The sequence below is a fragment of the Homo sapiens genome, chromosome 4 (assembly GCF_000001405.40).
Source record: "Homo sapiens chromosome 4, GRCh38.p14 Primary Assembly".
Lineage (NCBI taxonomy): Eukaryota > Metazoa > Chordata > Mammalia > Primates > Hominidae > Homo > Homo sapiens.
Window position 1 is genome coordinate 83,302,841 of NC_000004.12, and position 18,759 is coordinate 83,321,599.

General features: G+C 40.6%; 1 protein-coding gene and 1 long non-coding RNA gene across 5 annotated transcripts in view, besides 2 other annotated features; one reads left to right on the top strand and one right to left on the bottom strand.

Annotated features, from left to right (window-relative positions):
• HPSE (heparanase) overlaps nucleotides 1-18,759 on the bottom strand; it is a 42,693-nt gene that overhangs the window by 10,380 nt on the left and 13,554 nt on the right. For 2 of the 4 annotated variants that reach the window (NM_006665.6, NM_001098540.3), the window contains 7 exons: nucleotides 16,504-16,629; nucleotides 10,274-10,447; nucleotides 7,882-8,050; nucleotides 7,191-7,238; nucleotides 6,562-6,655; nucleotides 6,005-6,111; nucleotides 3,363-3,477 (listed from right to left, as the gene is read on the bottom strand). In NM_006665.6, the coding sequence (NP_006656.2) occupies nucleotides 3,363-3,477; nucleotides 6,005-6,111; nucleotides 6,562-6,655; nucleotides 7,191-7,238; nucleotides 7,882-8,050; nucleotides 10,274-10,447; nucleotides 16,504-16,629 (833 nt within the window). The remainder of the gene's footprint in view (nucleotides 1-3,362; nucleotides 3,478-6,004; nucleotides 6,112-6,561; nucleotides 6,656-7,190; nucleotides 7,239-7,881; nucleotides 8,051-10,273; nucleotides 10,448-16,503; nucleotides 16,630-18,759) is intronic. The other 2 variants (NM_001199830.1, NM_001166498.3) reach the window with 2 other exon arrangements.
• On the top strand, nucleotides 11,254-13,999 carry LOC105377313 (uncharacterized). Its single transcript, XR_938944.2, has 3 exons — nucleotides 11,254-11,279; nucleotides 13,608-13,711; nucleotides 13,908-13,999. It is a non-coding gene; the product is annotated as an uncharacterized LOC105377313 (long non-coding RNA).
• Nucleotides 13,237-14,436: an enhancer, noted in NCBI's record as "CDK7 strongly-dependent group 2 enhancer chr4:84237230-84238429 (GRCh37/hg19 assembly coordinates)". NCBI's record gives its function as "activates an origin of replication core promoter dependent on BRD2, BRD4, P300/CBP, MED14 and CDK7 cofactors, with strong dependence on CDK7, by STARR-seq in HCT116 cells {active_cell/tissue: HCT116}" and the evidence as "EXISTENCE:reporter gene assay evidence [ECO:0000049][PMID:35650434]".
• Nucleotides 18,559-18,752: a silencer, noted in NCBI's record as "fragment chr4:84242552-84242745 (GRCh37/hg19 assembly coordinates)". NCBI's record gives its function as "represses an EF-1alpha promoter that drives an FKBP-Casp9 reporter gene in an ReSE screen in K562 erythroleukemia cells {active_cell/tissue: K562}" and the evidence as "EXISTENCE:reporter gene assay evidence [ECO:0000049][PMID:32094911]".

The window sequence follows — 18,759 nt, forward strand, 5'->3', positions numbered from 1 at the left end:
GGTGTGCACCTGTAGTTCCAGGTACCCAGGAGGCTGAGGTGAGAAGATCACCTGATCCCAGGAGGTCAAGGCTGCAGTGAGCCGTGATTGTGCCACTGCACTCCAGCCTGGGAAACGAAATGAGACACTGTCTCAAAATAACAGTTAAAAAAATCTTAAAAAAAAATTTATTTTAAAACCTTATTCCCCCCACCCCAATAAAGTAATGGATTAGGCAATGGTCATCAGTAGCTGTCAAGATCAAAACCAGACACAACCAGACATTCTGTGCTTCCAGAAGCAGATAATAAAGAATTCTTGCAAAAAAATACAATTAAAAACCTGAATAAACTCAAGCTTCTAGGTATAACTACCAGTTTACAGGAAACACAGGGGACAGAGGAACATGCTAAATGATATCATAGGGAATAAATTTAGCAAACTCTATAATGTAGGAAATACTATAGAACAAATTACCTGTTTTTTCACATTAATAAATTACAAGAGATGAAAGAGAGGGAGGAATAACTTAAAGATGAACAAACTTAAGAGACTTATCAACCAAATGTAATATATGGACCTTGTTTGGATTCTGATTTGAATAACTATCAACAATATTTTAGACAAGGAAAATGTGAGACACTGACAAAATATTTGGTGATACTAAGGAATTATTGTTATTATTTAAAGTATGATAAAAGTATTGTGTTTTTACAAAAAGGATACATACTAAAATATGTATTTTTTTGAGACATGGTCTTACTCTGTCACCCAGGCTGGAGTGCAGTGGTGTGAATGCAGCTTACTGCAGCCTCAACCTCCTGGGCTAAAGCGATCCTCCTGCCTCAGCCTCTCATGTAGCTGGGACCACAGGCATGTGCCACCATGCCCAGATAAGTTTTTGATTTTTTGTTGCCGTAGCTGGTCTTGAACTCCTGGGCTCAAGTGATCCTCCTGCCTCAGCTTCCCAAAGTGTTGGGATTACAGGTGTGAGCCACCACACCTAGCACATACTGAAATATTTATAGATAAAGTAATATATCTGAAATTTGCTTCAAAGTAATCTAATAGGTAGGAGGTGAAAAGTGGGAAGGATTACGGATTAAACAAGATCAAAGTATGCAGGAGGAAATTATATTTTCCTCCTACTCTTTAGTTCTTAGTTGGGATGGACCTCTGTAACAAGACAGAAAACAGGAGAAAACAAACAGAAGCTTGTTAACATGTATATTAATACATGTATGTTAACAGAAAATACCAGGGAACAAGTAATTCTCAAAGAGGTGGCTTAGAACTCCAGCTTATAGAGCAAATTTTTGGACAAGAGACATGACAAAGGAAAAGGATTTTTAGTCTCTGGGGTGGCAAGTTGTGGGAAGGAAAATAAATGAGTATGTAATATAGATTCTTCTAGTGCCATCTCTACACTGATAAGGGTCTGAAGTTATCTTCAGTGATTAACTCTTGTTTTTCCTGGTAGAAAGGGAAGGAGGGGGACTTTTAAGATTCATGTCCTGCTTTTAGGCAAATGGAGAAGGACAGAGAACTTTTCTTCTATGTGTTTCTTCCCAGTTGCCTTTAGCTCGAAATAATCCTTATGCCAAAGTGGCATATTTTGGGGTGGCATATTCTAGTCTCCTAAAGTGGGTTCATATACTTTCCTCTGTATTTTGTATATGATTAAAATTTTCTATAGTAAAAGTTTTTCTTAAAAAACTGCGGATCGGTGGTGGGCACAATGGTTCATGCTGTAATCCCAACACTGGGAGGCTGAGGTGGGATGATCACTTGAGCCCAGGAGTTTGAGACCAGCCTGCACAATACAGTAAGACCTTGTATCAATTTTTAAAATAATAAATAAATAAATAAATCACCATTCAACACATACCCCAACTTTCCTTCTTGAAAGTAGAGGGAAAGTAGACTTAACAAGACAAATGGCTTTTGTTTCTCTGCTTAAATTCCACTTTTTCACTGGAGACAAGAGTGGAATCAATGTTTTCAAAGGAGACATAAGCATGGGTCAATGACTGGTAGGGTAGAAAGTATGCAGGCCTCAGAAGCAGGATTTGAATGGGATTTTTAAGAGTAACATAGGACTACAGTATGGCTTCCTGTAAATCATGCAACCTCTTCTCAATTTGAACTTCCTTATCTAAAAAATGGATCCAAGATACCTGCCTTGCCACCTCACAGGACTGTCATGCAAATAAAATAAAGTCACAGACATGTAGAGTGAGTTTAAGTCTAATTCTCTTGGATCTACAAGTGAGAAGGGTACCATTTACTCTTGCACATTTTTCTAGCTGACTGAGAACCTTGAAGGAGAAGCATATTTAGTGCATATACAAAGAGTTCGTAAGGCAAAGGTTTATGTCTGGGCCCTGGGAAAATTTGGATGAGATAAAAAGGTCAGGAGTAGATTTTGAATGTTTGTCTGGTGAAATTACTATGCTTAGTTTAACTCTATACATGACAGAATATACTTGGGGAAAGATAAATTCCATTTTTGCAAGATCACTTTTCTAAGAATTTTCTAAAAAAAGATGACTAATATGTTCCACAAGCTTGGATCACTATAGATAAAAAGCAATTTTGTTGGGAAGTCTATCCACAAACCACAAAAGCCTAGCTTATATTTTCACGTACGCTCTTTGCAAAATTTCTTAGCTTTCCTACAACATTCAAATAATTCTTTTAGGAATTATTCTTAGAAAATATATATCTGCAAATGACATTTTAGACTATAAAAATCAAGGTCATGCTTCTCAGGGCTACATCTGTATTATCCCTGACATATATTTAGACATACAGATCTTCCACGAGGCTTTTTGGGAAGAAACATTTCCTGATTTAGCACCAGATACAGTTGGAGGAAGGATTAGAAATAAGACTTTATTCATAAATATCTTGAAGATTATTAACAACATAGTAAATTCTTAGCATGAGATTTTTAAGCAAACACATGGTACTGGCTCATTTTAAGGTTAAATAAATTACAATTTCATAACATAAAAAATGTTTTGAAGCTTTGCGTACTGTAGGCAATTATAACTTTGATTTACTTTGTAAAACATTTGAAAATCCAACTTATTTTGTCTTGTATAATGAGTCATAAAATTTCAAATTATCCCCTTTTAAACAAAATCCACACTATACTGCAAATGGCTTACCTTTAAAAAGTTATTCCTAGCTCTTGATTTCTTCTCTTCAAACACACAAAAAAATGTTAGATTGGATGCTATCTAAGGCTCCTTCTAATTCATCATCTCATGATTTGGCTAGTTACTGAGAGGACTGACTGTTCATAGGAGGTTAACACCAGAGGTCCTGAGTTGACTTTAATCTACTCCACTAGAATTAGGAAAATAATGGTCACTTACAGGTAAAGGATCGAAGTTTTCATCCACTAAATGGTAGTTTCCTGCTCCAAAGAATACTTGCCTCATCACCACTTCTATTCCCATTCGGGCTGACAGGCCCAATTTATCCAGCCACCTGGGACAGAGCAAGACCAAGCTTTCTTGAGGTTTGGAAACAAAATCGCTCAATTCTAATTGCACACCATCTTGATTTTATTTATGTATTTATTTATTTACTTATTTATTTATTTAGAGACAGGGTCTCACTCTGTCACCCAGGCTGGAGTGCAGTGGCGTGATCATAGCTCTCTGCAACCTCAAACTCCTGGGCTCCATTAATCCTCCTGTCTCAGCCTCCCAAGTAGCTGGGACTGAAACCGCCTTTGCAAAAATTATAACTGAGGAAATTATGACAGTGAAAGAGATCAGACCTCATTGACTCCATCTTGCTTCTAACCTTTAAGCTGTCCTTCTTCATTCCTGGGTGTAGGCTGAACTAACTTTGGGAAGAAATTCAGTTCATGGTTTGACTCTGAAACAAAAATGATAATAGCCCTTTTCTGAAAAGACCCCCTTCTTGCCTGGGGACAAGTCTACCTTTGCAGGACTAACAAATTAGCTACAACATTAGAGATTACGGTTTAGGGATAATGCAGCCTCTGGCTCCAAGAGTCTGAACCTCCCCAAATTGTTCCTGGGGATAACATCACTGTTGTAAAACCTAAGATCAGTGCTTGAGATATCTTGCAGACCCTGAACTGGGTGGATCATTTGAGACCACCCAGACCGGTAATCTGGCCCAACCAGTTCTGCCATCCCATCCAGGAACAGAAGACAGCAAGAAAACCTCACTTCCACTCCCTGTGATTCCATCTCCAACCTGACCAACCAGCACTCTCCACTTCCTAAGCCCCTACCGGCCAAATTATCCTTAAAAGCTCTGATCCTCGAATGTTCGGGGAGACTGATTTGAGTAATAATAAAACTCTGGTCTCCTGCACAGCTGGCTCTGCATAAATTACTCTTTCTCCTTTGCAATTCCCCTGTCTTGATAATTGGCTCTATCTAGACAGCAGGCAAGGTGAACCTGTTGGGTGGTTACAGGACCACAAGTGCATGCCACCATGCCTGGTTCTGGTTTATTGATCTTTGAGGGAGGAATTAACAGGAAGCCAGAAAAGTGTCATCAATTATAAATAAGTCATTTAAATGAAATGGCAACTGCATGCAGCAGCAGCAGCAGCAGCAGAATCCCTCCCTTTACATCTTTCCATATGATAACAAATCCTAGAAGACTATTACCATGCTAGAGGTATCCCTTTCAGGGTGAGACAAATTCCCACCTCTATAGACAATTCCTGGTCCTATGAGGTCCCTGCACAAACAATGTGTGAGGGCTGAAGAAAAAGTGGCAGTCAGCGGGGGTAAAATGTAAAATAAGCAGAATTGCACCTAAGCTATTATGGACACCTCTTCCCACTTCTCCTTCTCTATCCCCCTTCTCCCCGACACCCCAGATCTTTAGTTAATGGCAAAACAAACATCTCCATTCTTTATTCCTCTTGCTTCCATGGGCATAAAGGATTTGTGATGTATTCTAGGCTTATAAGAATGAGGATGAGAGAAAAAAGAATGAAGATGGAAGAGAAAAGAAAAAAAATCTCAATGTGAGGATATAGCAGTATAGATTAAAAGCACTAATAGAGTTACTAAATGTAACTAAACCAGTATTTTAAAGCAATCAAGTTTGTGGTGTTGGACAATGAGATGATTTAACAAATCTTTAAATTTAATGATAGCCCCTCTGGTGGGACCTCATACTTTAGGCTCTAAACTTCTTGGGAATCTATGAATTATAGCTACATACACTAAGTATCCTCCTGAGAGACAAAGCTGTAATATGCTCTAACTTGCATTTTTTTTTTTTTTTAAGAGACAGGGTGTGGCCGGGCGTGGTGGCTCATGTCCGTAATCCCAGCATTTTGGAAGGCTGAGGTAGGCAGATCACTTGAGCTCACGGGTTTCAGACCAGCCTGGGCAACATGTCAAAACCCCGTCTCTACTAAAAATACAAAAATTAGCCCAGTGCGGTGATACTCCTGTAGTCCCAGCTACTCAGGACGCTGAGGCAGGAGAATCGCTTCAATCCGGGAGGCAGAGGTTGCAGTGAGGTGAGATCGTGCCACTGCCCTCCAGTCTGGGTGACAGAGGGGAAAAAAAAAGACAGTCTCACTCTGTTGCCCAGTCTAGAGTGCAGTGGCACCATCATAACTCACTGCAGCCTCAAACTCCTGGGCTCAAGCAATCCTCCCACCTTGGCCTCCCAAAGTATTGGGATTACAGGGAACTACCATATCCGGCTATATGCATTCTTTTACAGTGTACTTCTTTAGAGTAAGGACTACTTGACATATTTATGGGCCATAATTAAAGGCCAAAATTTCTGAAACAATTCATCCTTATAGTGATTAATTTGGAACACTTGTTAAAGATGTCCCTCAAGCTTTAGTAAATCATTTTCTTGCAAAATCTGGCATGAATTTTGGGGCTCAGCCACTGAAATGGTCTTTGATCTGCTTTTTGGCTGGGGAGCTATTTCAGCAGAATAGAAGGATGGAGAAGAGCTGCACTCTGACCCCTAAGGCCAGCGCTGCTTCACTCACATAAAGCCAGCTGCAAAGGTGTCGGATAGCAAGGGCGCTCCGCCTCCATATGCAGAGCTTGTTTCTCCTAACCAGACCTTCTTGCCAGGCCTGGTGCTCTCAACCACCTATAGAACAGAAAAGTATCCATGGTAATTGCAAAAAAGCTGACCTGTGGTTTCAACTGTGGTGTTGAAGATTAACAGCATTCAAAACTTTGTATTCCTAGACCCACCCCTCCTATATAGTTATAAAATATGTTCATAGTCATTTAGGTCTTGGGAAACTTTCTTTTATTGAAATAGTAGGCTGTGGAAGGAACATGAAGTGAACCAACCCATTCTTATCATCTATGTGAGTTAATTCTACTAAAGGCTATTGGAAATATTTCAAATTTCTAATCACGTACATGGGGTAAGACCCAATGCTAAGGGGAAAACTAACAGTGGATAAGTCATAGTGCTTGTTCTCTAAAATTAGAAAAACATGTAAATATACATACCTATAGAATTTAGAACTAGCTAGACTATAAAATAAGGATTCTGGTTTTACATTAAAAAGTTTAAAAAGACTATTACCTGGAAAACTTTTTGCACAGATGAAATAAAAATGTCCAATACATCAGGGTTTAGAAAATCTTCCTTGGTAGCAGTCCGTCCATTCAAATAGTAGCTAAATTACACAGAAAATATTCAGAAAAAAAATAACAAATTTTACTTTCTGCTTTTAGGTTAATTGCTGACCTTATTCTCCTTCTTACCTCTCCCACTCACCTGTTACTAAAAAAAGGTAGAAGTTCTACTAGGGAAAGACCAAGATGGAAGGGAGTTATGAGGAGGAGTCCATTCTATGCAAGTAACTAGAAATCAGTTACTCTGTCTTGAAAAAACACAGTGGCAAGTACATGTACTCCTGGGTTACTGGTTCTTTGGCAAGCAATTGGTTTTAGCTACTTATATGTTCCATGGGTTAATTGGCACTGTTCTTCTGTATAAAGTGATCTTTATAGAAACCACTACATTATTTAAAATAACTTTAAATTTTTTTTATTAATATTAAAATTGGAGTACAGTGCTACTTGAGACACTATTTGTTTCTTATTTGAACTGCAGTCAATTGGCAGTTAAATGAACTAACTTTTTGAATACTAGGTAATAAATAAAGCTAGCCTTACTTTCCTAGTATTAAGAATAGGAGACATACTTACTGATGCCATGTAACTGAATCAATCACTTCTCCACCAGCCTTCAGGAAGCTAGAAAAAAAATTTTATTATCACTCAGTCATATAATACATATATATGCACAATATACGCATGAGAGTTTTATTCCCTAGAAATGGGCTGGTTACTGCTTTAGGATCAGGTAAACACAAACTTCCTAATTTTGATAGCAAATTTTATCATAGGTGACATTTGCCTCAGATCCCTTGATATTCTGAACCCGTCAAAATTTCCTTTTTTTGGTAAATCATGTATTCAGGCAGCAGATTGTTTAATAACATGTGGACTATTGAGGATTGTCTACCAGAGAGAATCTTTTTTTTTTTTAAGAAAAGTGGTGGCTGGGTGTGGTGGCTCATGCCTGTAATCCTGGCACTCTGGGAGGCTGAGGTGGAAGGATGGCTTGAGCACAGGAATTCAAGAGACCAGCCTGGGCAACACAGGGAGACCCCATCTCTACAAAAAAATTTTTTTAAAGTAGCCAGGTGTGGTGATGTGCACCTGTAGTCCCAGCTATTTGTGGGACTGAGATGGGAGGATTGCTTGAGCCTGGGAGGTCGAAGTTGCAGTGAGCCATGATTGTACCACTGCACTCCAGTCTGGCTGACAGAGTGAGACTCTGTCTCAAAAGGAAAAAGAAGAAAAGTAAAGTGATTCTGCATCCTCTAGTTCCTACCTCTTCAGCATCTTAGCCGTCTTTCTTCGAGGCTGACCAACATCAGGACCATAGAGTTTTGCATTTTTGAAGGTGGACTTTCTTAGAAGTTTATGCAATTGAATAAAATCTTCTCCTAACTGCGACCCATTGATGAAAATATCAGCCTTCTTAAGGAAACTGTTAGGTTCTGAAAGACAGCAATTCTCAAAATATATATCGAGAAATGTTGTATTTAAAAGCAAACATATAGCAGTATTTAAAAGCAACAAAACATTTTCCAAATTACAAAAACTTGTAATTCAAAGTCAAGAAAAGTAAAACCAGGTCTGGCGCTATGGCTCATGCCTGTAATCCCAGCATTTTGGTAGGCTGAGACAGGAGGATCCCCTGAGGCCAGGAGTTTGAGACCACTCTGGGTAACATAGTAAAGCCCTGTTCCATGGGGAAAAAAAAAAATTAGCTAGATGTGGTGGTGCATGCCTGTAGTCTCAGCTTGGGAGGCTGAGGGAGAGGATCACTTGAGCCCAGAAGGTCGAGGCCATAGTGAGCCATGATCACGCAACCGCACTCCAGCCTGAGTGACAGAGCAAGCGTCTGTCTCAAAAAATAAAATAAATAAGTAAAGTAAAACTCAAAGTTATAAATAAGATACTCCAGAAAAACAAAACAAAAATTTTAACTGTATAACTGAGATATGAGGGTCTATTAAACAATTTGAAGTTAATAATGAGGGTAATAAACCAATGGATATGGATATCTGGGAACTAGACTATATTCCATATCTAATAACTTCATTTACTTTGGAAAAAAAGGTTTGAGACCGGGCACAGTGGCTCATGCCTATAATCCCAGCACTTTAGAAGGCCGAGGCAGGAGGATTACTTGAGGCCAGGAGATCGAGACAAGCCTGGGCAACACAACCAGACAAAAGAAAAAAAATTGGCTAGGCATAGTGTAGTCCTAGCTAATCAGGGGGCTGAGGTGTGAGAGATTGCATGAGCCCAGGAGTTGGAGGTTACATTGAGCTATGAACACGCCACTGCACTCCAGCCTGGGTAACAGAGCAAGATCTTGTCTGAAAAAAAAAAAAAAAAAAAAAAGTTTGAGCAGGAAGAAGACTTGTGCTTATCCTATTACTACATTTCATTTCCCATTTAATCCTTATTTCCATTGGCTGATATGTGGAAAAAGCACTCTATGTTTTGAATAAATGTGGCGAATCATGAATACTTATAGTTAAAATTTACAAGTTCTTTGCAAAAAAAGAGTGAAGAAGGAGACAGTCAGGAGCTTGACCCACGTAGGATTCTATACTGGCAAGTTCTAGACCGTTTGGGCAGGTAATGAAGGTTGCAATGGGGTTACTGAGATTAACTGACACATTTGAGAAAATGAGAAAGGAAGGGATGAATAAAACAAACTGCTGACTTCCCAGTTTTGCTGAGTCCAGCTTGCCAAGCATAATAGGGTTAAGTGATTCTGAAAATCTCAAGGGAACTTTGGAGCTGGGAACGTTGCTGGCTCCAACTGGTTCTCACTTCAAATGTAACATAAACTGGGATTAGCAATAATAGGTTCTGGAATAAATACAGTAGGAGTTTCTGCCACATGCACTTCCAAAAGTTGCATTGTTGAGCACTTGCAAGAATGTGCCCAGGCAGAAGTATATTTGCTAATAATAAAAAGAGTGTTGGCCGGGCGCAGTGGCTCACGCCTGTAATCCCACCACTTTGGGACGCCGAGGCGGGCAGATCATGGGGTCAGGAGATAGAGACCATCCTGGCTAACACGGTGAAACCCCGTCTCTACTAAAAATACAAAAAAATTAGCCGGGCGTGGTGGCGGGTGCGTGTAGTCCCAGCTACTCGGGAGGCTGAGGCAGGAGAATGGCGTGAACCTGGGAGGTGGAGCTTGCAGTGAGCCGAGATGGCGCCACTGCACTCCAGCCTGGGCGACAGAGCGAGACTCCGTCTCAAAAAAAAAAAAAAAAAAGTGTCATAAGAAATAATGCTAGCCGGGCCTGGTGGCTCACGCCTGTAATCCCAGCACTTTGGGAGGCCGAGGAGGGCAGATCACGAGGTCAGGAGATCAAGACCATCCTGGCTAACACGGTGAAACCCCGTCTCTACTAAAAATGCAAAAAAAAAAAAAAAAAAAAAAAAAAAAAAATTAGCTGGGCGCGGTGGCGGGTGCCTGTAGTCCCAGCTACTCGGGAGGCTGAGGCAGGAGAATGGCGTGAATTTGGGAGGCAGAGCTTCAAGTGAGCCGAGGTGGCGCCACTGCACTCCAGCCTGGGCAGCAGTGCGAGACTCTGTCTCAAAAAAAAAAAAAAAAAAAAGAAAAAGAAAAGAAAAGAAATAATGCTAGTGGGGGATCTCCTTATTAATGAATTGTTCCCTGGGGTACTCACCATTGCCTAGTTCCCAAGAAATGTTATACCCCTTGGAAGAGCAGTAGTCCAGGAGCAACTGAGCATTAGAACTGTTCCACTGCAAATCTGCTGTTCTTAATAACGCATTTAGGCCAAAGATCAAGTCCAGTCCTGAGCAGTTTGCAAAAGTGTATAGCACATCTACAGAGCTTCCTAAAAGAAAAACGTCACAATTTAATGGTTAGATTGGCACCACAATGAAGGCCTCCAGATTCGCTTTTCATAATGAATAACTATTTCTGTTGTTAAACTGAAGAAATTCTAGTTCTAATAAATGATTATAATTATGTTTTTGAGACAACAAAATTGGACAAATTAAAAAAAATCAATCTGACTTCATTTGCTCCAGCTGTTGAATGAAATCCCATGGAAGATACCAGAAGCTCTGGTCTGACACTTAGGTTTTGTTCAAGTGACATCAGGAGAATTGGGGAAGCCACAATTTATAGCTCAGTGCTCCACATGCATAGCCAGACTGTCATTAGTTAGCATAAACCCCACTCTTCATAATCTAAATATCTCTAGTCACAAGTTCAGTTAAAAAATATTTTGATAATTTTAATTATATTTAAAACAATTTTTAAAAAAATTCCTGTTATGATTTATTAATTTAAAATGAATCAAATTTTACATTAAAAAATTGGCCTAGAGTTATAGGACTATGGTTTCCAAACTCTGTGCAAGGCAAGCTGGGGAGCACCAGTGAATGCATGGGTACAGCTACAGGATTTAGCAACTAAAAGTGCAGGGCACCTAGTTAAACTTGAACTTCATATAGACAATAAATAATGTTTAGTGTATGTCCTATGTAACCATTAAGAAATACTTCGCACAGGGGCCAGGTGCAGTGGCTCATGCCTGTCATCCTAGCACTTTGGGAGGCCGAGGCGGGCGGATCACTTGAGCCCAGGAGTTCAAGACCAGCCTGGGCAACATGGCAAAACCACATCTCTACAAAAAACACAAAAATTAGCCGGGCATGATGGTAAGCACCTGTAGTCCCAGCTAGCTACTTGGGAGGCTGAGGTGGGAGGATCACCTGAGCCCAGGGAGGTCAAGGCTGCAGTGAGCCATGATCATGCCATTGCACAGCAGCCTGGGCAACAGAATGAGATCCTGTCTCAAAAAAAAAAACAAAAAAACAAACAAAAAAAAAAGTAAAGAAAAGAAAAATAATTAACATGAAAAAAATTATTTATCTGAAATTCAACTCTAACCAGGCAGTGCTATTTACAGAGGCACTGTAGGATCTTTTAAGTTTGCAAGGAAAAAAACATCAACATCTATTGGACAGCATTACTATTGGACCTATTACTATTAGGTTGTGTAGACCTTACAATTTAATAATCAAAATACAGGTATTTTTTGTGGCCTAGGCATGCTTTAAAAAGTTTTCTGCGATATTAAGGTGCCATAAGTTTGGGAACTTCTGTACTCTGCTTTTTAAACCATTAGCTGTTCTATTACCACTTTTTGAGAGTGGCAACAATATAATTTTAAGTGTTGTCTTTAAATTGATTATCATATGCATAATAAGTCCTTCCAATTTTCATGTATATCTATAGTCGTTTGTTAAAGAGTAATTCATTCCTGAACTCTTGTAGTTAAAAAAGAAAGATCTCTATCTATCTGGCAAACTTACACCCTTTCTCCTTAAAAGTGGCTTTTTGTTTTGTTTCTAAGTCTTTGGCCTGAATTACTTGAATAACTATAGAATAATATTAAATATTAGCTATTTAAGCTGAGTGCAGTGGCTCATGCCTGTAATCCCAGCACTTTGGGAGGCTGAGGCAGGTGGATCACCTGAGGTCAAGAGTTCGAGACCAGCCTGCCCAATATGGTGAAACCCCGTCTCTACTAAAAATACAAAAATTAGCTGGGTGCAGTGGCATGCACCTGTAGTCCCAGCTACTTGGGAGGCTGAGACAGAATTGCTCAAACCCGGGAGGTGGAGGTTGCAGTGAGCCGAGATTGTGCCACTGCACTGCAGCCTGGGTAACAGAGCAAGACTCTGTCTCAAAAAAAAAAAAAAAAAAAATTAACTATTTAATATTAACTATAAAGACCACTAGGCAGAAACAACTCTTGCAAGCTGCTTTAGGTATTTTGATATTTGCTGTGTCACCCACTTCCATAAACTGCTGCCTACCATCAAGGAATGACAGACATTTGGGTTTGAAAAGCTCTCTAGAGTCCTGTGACCCAGCATTCTACTGGATCTTAGAGCCACAGTTTAAGGCAGTATGGAGGCTTTAGGATCATCAGCCTATGCTTAACCTCCACCCTCATTTTTCTAGGAGGAAACTGAGATTCAAATAAGGTAAGTCTTTGCCCAATATCACGCAGCCGTTTGGTGGCAGTACCATTACTAGAGTCTGTTACAAGGGGTGAGTGACCTGCTTTAGTCACACATTATAGGCTTTTATATTGCAAAATCATGTTGTAGGAAGTGCCCTGGATCAGAAATCATAAGACTTGAGCTCCAGGCACAACTCTCCCACTTATAGACTATAATATGAACAGGGGTAATATCTTTGCCCGACAGGAACCTCAGATATGGATCTAAAGTCCTGGGACAAGCACCATCACATGCCTTCGCCATAAAACCAAGGTTGAAATGACACATGTGAAAACTGTCTGTAAATCACAAAAAACCCTTACAGCTAAATAGCACTTTGTACTAGCCCTGAACAAAGATTATAGCATTTTCAAAAAACCTGGAATGCTTGCACTCATACTTTACCCTTCCTCCATTTCTTCATTCTTCCAAATGCACTTGGAATTTACATAGCTCGAAATTCTATTATACACCCCCTATAACATAATCAACTGTAACATCTCCTGGAATAGAGGCTATTGACGACTGAGTTCAAATCCATTCTTTTTTTCTTTTCTTTTCTCTTTTTTTTTGAGACAGAGTATTGTTCTGTCGCCCAGGCTGGAGTACAATGGCATGATCTTGGCTCACTGCAACCTCCACCTCCCGGGTTCAAGTGATTCTCCTGCCTCCACCTCTGCAGTAGCTGGGACTACAGGTGGACGCCACCAAGCCCGGCTAGTTTTTGTATTTTTAGTAAAGATGGGGTTTCACTGTGTTGGCCAGGCTAGTCTTGAACTCCTGACATCAAGTGATCCACCTGCCTCAGCCTCTCAAAGTGCTGGGATTACAGGCGTGAGCCACCACGTCTGGCCACATCTACTTTAAAAAAAAAAAACAAAAAAAACAGAAGGACCACCTAGCCTACTCCTTACTCAAAATACGAAGAACAATTTAAAACTTACAATTCATTATCTTATTCCCAATCCTTTCCAGACTCTCATCTCTTACTGTATAAAGAGTGGAGAGATCCTTGGAATGAAGATAACCAAGATGACACATTGAAAAAAATGGCAGATCTTTCCCTTGGACTGTACCATGTAAGTCTATGTCAGCATCCAATGTGGGCCTGGGTGTAGGCAACGGAAGAATGGGGTGATGAGGGGAACAGGAGGAGAAGAGGAAGTACAAAGAGTTAGCTCACTCAGGATGACTACTTTAATAAGGGAGTCATCCTTTCTGCAGTCACACCCGGAATTACATCTGTAACACTGCTTCCTTTTCCTGCTCAAACAGGTTTAAAATGTGAGTCTATATTCTCATGACAAATGTTTTTGTCATCTTCTACTTAAGTGGAACGCACCATACAAGAGGACCTGTGTTAGAAAACTTACCTGTATCTTCTGGGACACCCGTTTTTTTGTTGTTGTTGTTTTTTGTTTGTTTGTTTTTTGTTTTTGTTTTTTTGAGACAGAGTCTCACTTTGTCGCCCAGGCTAGCGTGCGGTGGCGCAATCTCGGCTCACCACAACCTCTGCCTCCCAGATTCAAGTAATTCTCCTGCCTGCCTCCTGAGTAGCTGGGACTACAGGCGCCCGCCACCATGCCTGGCTAATTTTTGTATTTTTAGTAGAAATGAGGTTTCACTATGTTGGCCAGGTTGGTCTCGAACTCCTGACCTCAGGTAATCCACCCGCCTCAGCCTCCCAAAGTGCTGGGATTACAGGTGTGAGCCACAGCACCCAGCCTGGGACATGTGTTTTAAGGGTGCAGGCCACTAGCTAAGCAATGAACATGTCCTTATCTCAGCAGCCTTTTGCTACCTCTTCTTTTGTGGTATGTCCCCATGTCACTCAGCCATTACCAGTCTCAGCCACAGGTTCAGAACAATTTGTGGAATCCCCTATTAGCTTCTGAAATATTTGTCACTACAATGAGTAGGTGCCCAAACTAAACACAGAAGATTTCTGTTTCCATGACGTGCCCATGAAAACTGAAAATTTCGAGCCAGAAATCAAATGTTTACAAATGCAAATAAAATTCTGTGTTTGTTGTACCTTTTAGCATTGCCAACAGGGTGGCTGGACTTACACTAACTAACCTGGTTGCATAGTTAGCAAAGGAAGGCATTTCCCCTGGTGTAGGAACTATGAAAGCCAAGTCCTGGAGTTGGAAACCTACCATTTTGGTAACAGAAAGATCCTGTAAAGTAGTAAAACTTTCTTAGAAATGTAAGATACATTGGTATAATGTTTAATGCGACCCCCCAAGACTCACCTATATCTTCCGGGACATGTGTTTTAAGAGCAAATCCATTAATTACCTAATACAACTGGGTCTTCTCCTAGCAGAGCTATAATGATTTATTACAAATGTGGCCTTACTTCTGTGGTTCTCTGGTATGTGTCATTCCTTTAATGGGATCTGAAATGGCCCTGCCTCATGCCAAATTCCAGTCAATAATTAATTACACTTATTAAAGTGTCAGAGTAGATCGCCCTCTTAAAAATGCAAAAAAAAGTTTTTTAGAGGACAACATTAGCTATTAGCATATGCGCTATTTTTTGATTTCTTATGGAACACATTTTTTTCTGTACCATATACATAAAAAATGTACATAAATTTGAAATCCATCTGATACATTGAACTCCAGGTAGTATACAGTAAAATCTTACAAAGATAATTAATTAAAATAATATACTTTAAATAATGTTAACTAACCCAAACAAAGTATAGTAACTTCAAGATCATTTATTTTCAAAAGTCAAAAGAAGAGCTTGAAGTATCTGAGCAGGTTATTTCTTTAACTGAGATATGGGAACATCATCCCTCAGTGGGGTATAAACATCAAACTTCAGATAAAAATATATTTCATAGTTAAAAAAGGATTGTGGCCAGGAGTGGTGGCTCACGCCTGTAATCCCAGAACTTTGGGAGGCTGAGGTGGGTGGATCACCTGAGGTCAGGAGTTCGAGACGAGCCTGGAGCCTGGCCAACATGGTGAAACCCTGTCTCTACTAAAAAATACAAAAAATTAGCCGGTCGTGATGGTAGGCACCTGTAATCTCAGCTACTCAATAATCAATAATATGATCGGGGGTAATACCTTTACCCTACAGGAACTGAATAATCAAATATTCCTCATAATGAATAGGAGGCTAAGGCAGGAGAATCTCTTGAACCTGGGAGGCGGAGGTTGCAGTGAGCCAAGATTGCGCCATTGCACTCCAGGCTGGGCGACAAGAGTGAGATTCCATCTCAAAAAAAAAAAAAAAAAAGGGGGTTCCTTGTTTCACTTGCTTTAAAGCCCCATGTGACAATGTCATCCTAATTTGAAGACTGGAAGACTGTTTTAGTGACTGAAAACATACTAATGGGTAGCTGAGCTAGCCCTGTGTTTGCAAAAGCCACAGAGGAAACAAAAAGAGAATGCTGCTTGGTGGCCAAGACTGTCTGGAGTGACTCAGGGCCCTCCTGCCTAATGCTCTAAACCAAGGCATACTGGGGGTTATTTCTGGGAGGGGGACGGACCTCAAGGTATGAATGATGTTCATGTTTTGCCCTTTATATGTCTGTATTTTAATTTTACATGAGGAATATATTCATGTTTTCCTTGACTCCGTAGTTTTTTAGAGCACTGAAGGTCATTGTTAGATCATGAATGATTGATTTATCTTTCATTCTGTGACTACTAAGCAATGTCAGATGAAGAAAAAACAAACAAAAAAAAAACCAAAAAGCAAGTTTTGAGTTTAGGATTTCCCATTTGGGAAATGCTTCAGTATTTTCAGCTTTATACAACTTCCGTAGGACTTGCTAGATTGGTGCCCGAGTCCAACCTATTCAAATATCTTTGGGGCTGGAACATCTCTAGGGTGCCTTTCATTTCTTACTTGAGTAGGTGCTGTTCTTGAACTTTTTCTGGTAGTGTTCTCGGAGTAGCAATTGCTCCTGGTAGGGCCATTCCAACCGTAACTTCTCCTCCACATCAGGAGGGATGGATCCATATTTGCAAATATCTGCAAGTGGAAGAGATCATTTAGAAGGTCTGTTTTCACAGTGAGCAGACTGAAATCGCATATATTTATTTAGTTAGCTATTTATGTGACTAAAGCAGGATAATTAAGTTCTGGTTATGAGGTAGGAGAGCAGAGAAAAGGTATATTCTGTAACACATGTCAAATTTGCCGGCTCATGAATTACCACAAAGAAAACAACCAAGGGCAGGTTTCCTAAGAAATATTGAACATACACTGAACATGGATATGTTGGACATAGCTACAAGTTATTTAACAATTCAAAGGGCTCCTCAGAAGCTTGAAATTACTGGCCGGGTGCAGTGGCTCACACCTGTAATCCCAGCACTTTGGGAGGCTGAGATGGGCGAATCACTTGAGGTCAGGAGTTCGAGACCAGCCTGGCCAAATGGTGAAACCTCGTCTCTACTAAAATACAGCTACTCAGGAGGCTGAGGCAGGAGAATCACTTCAACCCACGAGGCGGAGGTTGCAGTGAGCCGAGATCACGTCACTGCACTCCAGCCTGGGTGACACTGGGCGACAAAGCGAGACACTGTCTAAAAAAAAAAAAAAAAAAAAAAGCTGGAAATTACCAGAGAACTCTAATGAAGAAAACATAGTGCAGTTCTCTTAAGGTTCACTTTCAAAATCCATAGCAATTTGTTTTACATGGACTGTATCTGCAGTGTGGTGTTTTCCTCTTGCCATCATGGGAGGTAGGATGGGTGGGAACCGTTGACTTTTTTTCGCTTTGAATTTGGTACCATCAGAGCTTCTGGGACCACAACATGTGCACTTGAAAAAATCCACCCTGGTCAGGCACAGTGGCTCACGCTTGTAATTCCAGCTCTTTGGGAGGCCAAGGCAGATGGATAGCTTGAGCTCAGGAGTTTGAGACTAGCCTGGACAACATAGTAAAACCCTGCCTCTACTAAAAATACGAAAACTTAGCTGGGCGTGGTGGTGTGTGCCTGTGGTCCCAGCTACTCGGGAGACCGAGGTGGGAGGATGCCTTGAGCCTGGGAGGCAGAGGCTGCAGTGAGCCAAGATCCCGCCATTGCACTCCAGCCTGGGCGACAGAGCCAGACCCTGTCTCAAAAAAAAAAAAAAGAAAAAAGAAAAATCCACACCATCCTGTCAGGCAGACCATTTCTTTATCACAAGACAGCAGGGTTGCCGGGTGCTGGCTGCCAGGGCCGGCTGACTGGCTGATGACTTCCTTTCTGGAAAGCTGCACACTGACTCGCTGGCGGCTGGTGCCTCATCCATCCCTGGGCTCACAGAGGATGTTTCAGAGGAACTTGCATAACCCCAGTTTCCCCCACCGACCATCCCCCTAGACACAGGATGAAGAAAACTGATGAGCAAAGGACAGTTTCCTGTCTACATTTATGAGATCTTTTGGACACAAATGACTGGTGGGAAAGGGCCAAGTCTAAATAGAAACTAGGTTGGGTGTGGTGGCTATGCCTATAATCCCAATACTTTGGGACGCCAAGGCAGGGGGATCACTTGAGTGCAGGAGTTTGAGATCAGCCTGGATAACATAGAAAGACTGTCTCTACAAAAAATAAAAAAATTAGCTGGGTGTGGTGACATGCACCTGTGGTCCCAGCTACTCAGGAGGCTAAGGTGGGAAGATTGCTTGAGCCCAAGAGGTCAAGGCTGCAGTGGGCCATGCTTGTGCCACTGCACTCCAGCCTGGGCAACAGAGTGGGACTCTGTCTAAAAAAACGCCCCCAAAACAAAAAACAAACCCATAAACAACTCCAACCTGGTATTCAAAGATAACCCATCTGTCTTTTTCTATTTTCTCTGATTACTATTCTGTCAATTTAGCCCCAATTACTGATGAATTGTTCTAAATACTTCATAACTGGATAAAATAAACAGAAGGAAAAGATATAATATATGAAATAATCAAATATTCCTCATAATGAATATATACGTTATATACACATTATTATAATTCAGTGGTGTATACAATATTTTCAGTATTTTTTTCTCTTTAAATTATTAAAAAATAGAGACAACGTCTCTCTATGTTGCCCAGGCTGGTCCCGAACTCCTGGGCTCAAGTGATCCTCCTGCCTCAGCCTCCCAAAGTGTTGGGATTACAGGTGTGAGTCA